The sequence below is a fragment of the Homo sapiens genome, chromosome 1 (assembly GCF_000001405.40).
Source record: "Homo sapiens chromosome 1, GRCh38.p14 Primary Assembly".
NCBI lineage: Eukaryota > Metazoa > Chordata > Mammalia > Primates > Hominidae > Homo > Homo sapiens.
Genome location: NC_000001.11, coordinates 157,440,496 through 157,446,495, shown reverse-complemented (window position 1 = coordinate 157,446,495; position 6,000 = coordinate 157,440,496).

The window sequence follows — 6,000 nt, the reverse complement described above, 5'->3', positions numbered from 1 at the left end:
GTCCCCCAGCAGTGCCGGCCCACAGCCGCTGCGCTCAATTTCTCGCCGGGCCTTAGCTGCCTTCCCGCGGGGCAGGGCTGGGGACCTGAAGCCGGCCATGCCTGAGCCTCCCCCCACTCCGTGGGCTCCTGTGCAGCCCCAGCCTCCCAGATGAGTGCAGCCCCCTGCTCCATGGCGCCCAGTCCCATCAACCACCCAAGGGCTGAGGAGTGTGGGCGCATGGCGCGGGACTGGCAGGCAGCTCCACCTGTAGCCCCCGTGGGAGATCCACTGGGTGAAGCCAGCTGGGCTCCTGACTGGTCGGGACTTGGAGAACCTTTATGTCTAGCTAGGGGATTGTAAATACACCAATTGGCACTCTGTATCTAGCTCAAGGTTTGTAAACACACCAATCAGCACCCTGTGTCTAGCTCAGGGTTTGTGAATGCACCAATCGACACTCTGTATCTAGCTACTCTGGTGGGGACTTGGAGAACCTTTGTGTCTACACTCTGTATCTAGCTAATCTAGTGGGGACTTGGAGAACCTTTGTGTCTAGCTCAGGGATTGTAAACGCATCAATCAGCACCCTGTCAAAACAGACCCCTGGGCTCTCTGTAAAATGGACCAATCAGCACGATGTGGGTGTGGCCAGATAAGAGAATAAAAGCAGGCTGCGCGAGCCAGCAGTGGTAACCTGGTAGGGTTCCCTTCCACGGTGCGGAAGGTTTGTTCTGTTGCTCTTTGGGTCCACACTGCCTTTATAAAGTGTAATACTCACCGCGAAGGTCTGCAGCTTCACTCGTGAAGCCAGCGAGACCACAAACCCACCAGGAGGAAGGAGCAACTCCAGACGCGCCGCCTTAAGAGCTGTAACACTCACCGCCAAGGTCCTCAGCTTCACTCCTGAGCCAGCAAGACCATGAACCCACCAGAAGGAAGAAACTCCGAACACATCCGAACATCAGAAGGAACAAACTTAAGACACGCCACTTTTAAGAGCTGTAATACTCACCGCAAGGGTCCGCGGCTTCATTCTTGAAGTCAGTGAGACCAAGAACCCACCAATTCCGGACACAATAGCTACATCTCGAATTATTTAGCAAAATACCATAACTTCTAGTCTTGTGGCTTTAGGCAGTCTAGTTCACAGGGGTGAAGGAGGTTTGTTTTGTTATCATCTTTGTTTCAAAGCTAAACTATAAACTACCTTAATAAGAATAGCTTGGAGGTCAGAAGCAAGAAGTCTTTTTCACTGTCTCAGTAATACTTTTGCAATGGCAGTTTTATAACATTAAATAACAACTATCACAGTTTTCCTGAATAATCTAGGTAAACAAATAATTAGGTAAATGTAATGGGATAAATACTTATAGACAAACTTGTCATAATCTGAAATCTAAAGTTACATTAAGTTAAACAATAGATATTATTTGGGTATTTTCCAATAAAAATATAGGAAAACATTCTTTATAAAAACTATCCTTTTAAAGGGTAAATACTTTTTGTCGAATTCAAAGCTTATTTAGTTATACATAAAACAAGGTAAAGGGAACCAGAAAATATGAGAGATATAAAGTTATAAAAACAGTTATTTTTGGTAAAAAGCTTGAAGAAAAATGACTTTACATAAAAGAGAATCTTGTATGGGAAATTTAGTCCTAGAATAAAATGACTGGTTGTTTTAGAAAGAGGTATGGTTAGAAAGAGGGATGAAAGTCCTGAAAGAATTTATGAAAGGGAATTTATACAAAAACATTGTACCATTTAAAGGTAATTAGGCCTCCTAAATGCTTCATAAAAGGCAACTATGACTCTTAACTGTACAACTTGTCTGCTTTACAGCTAGGTAAGGCCTGGGACACATGGAGTTAGATGCTAGAAAAAGTCAAACCTTATCTGCACTTCTGTCTAGGTCCTAGGCCCCACACCTGTTACATAATTAAAATCCCAAACTTACCAAAGTTTTCACTAGAAGTAAAATTTGCTAAGAGCTAACAGTGTAACATGTATTTGAGACTACTGAAGAGACAATTTTACATGCAAGTTGTGTAAAAAAATATACTTTTGGTAAAAAAAAGATTATAATAATGCGTGAGAATGTCGATTTTTTTGTCTAAAAGATTAAAGGATTGTTTTAAATAAAATAAAGCTGAAGGTTTAAGCAAGTTGTGGAAGGTTTATGAGAAAATTAATTGTAAAATAAATTGTGTGTGAACATATTGGCTAAATTTAAAGGGATATTACCCAGCTTTTCTGTAAATTGAACACTGAAATAAAAGCACAACAGGTTTCTCTTAGAACACTAAACTCCTCTTCAACAAAAATAGTAAAAGATTATAAAAGGTTTATGAGAATCTTACCTTATGATCAAACATTAAAATTGGGTAGATATGTCTATAAGGTTTTATTAAGAATTGGGTTTAACATTAATAGTACACTAATGTAAAGGTGAATTTTCACTTATGTGGTACAAAAATCATACAAAAAGCATTGTCAAATATAAAATGGTGTTTGGCTTACTTTGGGTTATATTTGTATAAATATGTTACTGGTATGTGTACCAAAGTTATGGGAAACTCCTATAATTCTGATATCTCAGTGTACATTATCAGTAATAATTATAATTTTTATGTTAAATTATTGTGTGTCACAGAGGTAACAGATTGTCAACTGTGTCTTTGACTATGGCCACCCTAAGACTTTTTGTCACCCATCAACAATTGTTGTCTTGTTTTGGTCCTCTTTAGAAGCTGGTTTTATAATCAACTATAAAGCTCTAACAGGTGCTCTTGAATGCAGGTTTCTTATCACTTTGGAGATTGTGACATCAGAATAGAGGAAAAATGTTCAGGACCCTTGGAGAGATAAAATGTTCATTAATATGAAGCAGGACAGGAATTAACTGCATGAGCTGAACGAATGGGAGACTGAAATAATCTTTTTGACTTTTTGCTTAAAACGTTGCTGTTTTGCTTTTAGAGTAAAAAAACCTTTTACACTCTTGACAGCTTTTAACAATTATGTAAAGTGGACCCTTAGGAACAATATTTGGAGCTTTTTTTTATCTCTACTTGATTTCTCCAGAATTTGTAAACTATTATGAATATGCTTAACTTATGGCAATATAGTTACTTGCATAAGTGCCATAAGAACCTGTTTACATTTATAACAGGACACAATTGGAAAAACGGGTTATTTTTACCAAGGCTTTGACGGGAATGATGTGCTTTTCTTTAAGGAATCAAACTGGACTTATAGAGCCAATAAAAGCCCATTGGGAAAGCCTCATACCTTGTCTACACAGTCCATGTACAAGGTTCCTGATTTGTGTAAGTAAAGAATGTCACTTTCTGACAGGCCAGGAGCCCCAAGTTATCTTAGAATTTCAAGAGGAGAGGAATTCACCCAACTCATAGATATTTGATGGTACAAATCCATGGCTAGGCTTGGCCTTAAAAGGTCTCATCTTAGATTCCTTCCATGGAACAAAGTTCCATCAAAGCCAATTTAAAAGGCTTATGTGAAAAATAATTATTCTTGCTGCACTTTACTCAAACAATCTGACCAATTATAATAAAGCAAATCAGGCCTACCATAATTTGTCTTTAGTAACAATTGGAAATTTGAGAGTAAAATAATGTTTCAAAAACTATAGTACACTAACCTTTGTTAGATTCTCATCTTGCCTAATGTTTTCTCAATTTTTATTATTTTGTGCAGTTTGGATTAAATTCTAATTTTCCTGGCTACAAATCTCCAAAAAGTGCTTTCAGTTTTTGTCTTTTTCTTTTTTTTTTTGTTCCCATTTTTCCTAATTGGAAATCACTGCAGCCTAAGCTGTGCCTTCTTAAAGCCCTGAAAACTGAAGACTAGATAACTTAAACTTCAGAAGAAAACAGCAGCAATCTACTTATATGTGTTGCTGTTGCATACTGTTATGTTTCAGCAGATGCTGCTCCTAAGCCCCCAAAATAGAGAGTACAACTGGCAACAAATTGACCTTTTCCACTCCAATGCTGCATTCGGTGCCCCATAACAATTACCCCCTCTCAGCAGGAAGTAGCTAGAAACATTATGATGCCCCATCTCCCTATGATTCTTATGATAAATAAATATACAAGCATGATAGAAATCATGCGCAAATTGACAGTGGAGATTATGGCAGGCCAGGTCTCCCTAATGTAGGCCTCCATAACAACTGTTTTAGTACTGACTGGTTAAGTTAATTATTAAAAGCTGAAAGAGTCAGTGCCCTTATACAAAGACTGGAATGTAACAAAAGGTCACCAAGAGTTTTGCCTAGGCCTTTCCTGGGCCTTGAAGCCTGACAAGATAATGAAGGAATTCTTAACAGGACCCATTTAGGATTAAACAGGTTTCATCTGAAGAAAGTCCCCAGGCCTCTACAAACAAGTTTATTGGGGGTCTGAAGAAACTCCTCAAAGCTCCATGTCTTAGCAGGAGATGAAGTAAGTGTAATCACTCCACATCTGCTTCCATTTAGATTAAGAAAATTTACTGAGGCTCCAGAGGAAGGTCTTCAGGACTCAGATCTTAGTTATAGATTAGAAGAAGTCAATCACTTATGTCTTTAAATGAATGGACATTTACATGTAGACATGTAGTTCAGAAGGTATATAAGCTCTGGAAAACTTTGTAATTTTGAGTTGGTCTGGGGATAATTTCCAGACCTTCTGCCTGTACCGGGTTACAGAAATAAACATCCTCCTTTCCCAGTCCATCTGCATCTCATTATTTGGCTGTGAGAATAAGCAGCCTGACCCTCAGTTTGGTCTTGGGGCAGGTGTGCTGTTCAGGTTCTGATGTCTTTGGAGAACGAAAAGACAAGGGCACTCCTTTATGATGTACAAATGCAGCATATTTGGTTGGAAATGGCCCTTTGGTGGTGAGGAGGCTGGGAATCCTGAGCCAGGGCAGTCTTGGCTGCATTAAGGGCACATTTACCAGGGAGGTGAGGCCACCTTTGCTTCATTGGCAGGAAAGGTAAGAGAGCCTGCAGTGTCCCTGCATCTGCTGCAGGGAGCTGGAGAAGAAAGTTGCTGCCATTATGAGTTCTATGAGTTCTAGACAGACATAGGGAAAGTAGATACAGCATGAGGAAAAGGAGTTTAGGTGTCATTGATGAGTTAAGAGGAAACTAGTTTGTTTTACAGTGTGATGATAGGAAGGCAATGTTAGAAAAATGGATAAAATTTTACGTTATGTGATATGGTTTTGCTGTGTCCCTACCCATATGTCATCATGAGAGGGACCCATTGGGAGGTAATGGAATCATGGGGGTGGTTACCCCCATGCTGTTCTTATGATAGTGAGTGAGTTCTCACAAGATCTGATGGTTTTATCAGGGGCTTTTTTCCACTTTGCTCAGCACTTCTCCTTCTTTCCTCCTTGTGAAGTAGGTGCCTTTCTTTCCCATCACCTTTTGTCATGATTGTAAGTTTCCTGAGGCTTTCCCAGCTATGCAAAACTGTGAGTCAACTAAACCTCTTTTCTTTATAAATTACTCAGTCTCAGGTACTTCTTCATAGCAGTATGAGAAAAAACTAATATAGTCAGTTGGCATTGAGGGAATGTGGCACTGCTATAAGGATACGGAAAAATGTGGAAGTGACTTTGGTACTGGATAACAGGCAGAGGTTGGAACAGTTTGGGAGGCTCAGAAGAAGATGGAAAAATGGGGAAAAGTTTGGAACTTCCTAAAGACTTGTTGAATGGCTTTGACCAAAATGCTGATAGTGATATGGACAATAAAGTCCAGGTTGAAGTGGTCTCAGATGGAGATGAGGAACTTGTTGGGAACTGGAATAAAGGTCACTTTTGCAATGCTTTAGCAGAGACTGGTGGCATTTTGCCCCTCCCCAGAGATCTTTGAAACTTTGAATTTGAGAGAGATGATTTATGGTATCTCCCAGAAGAAATTTTTTAGGTGGCAAAGTCTTCAACGGGAAGCATGGCATAAAAATTTGAAAAATTTGCAGTCTGGTGATATGACAGAAA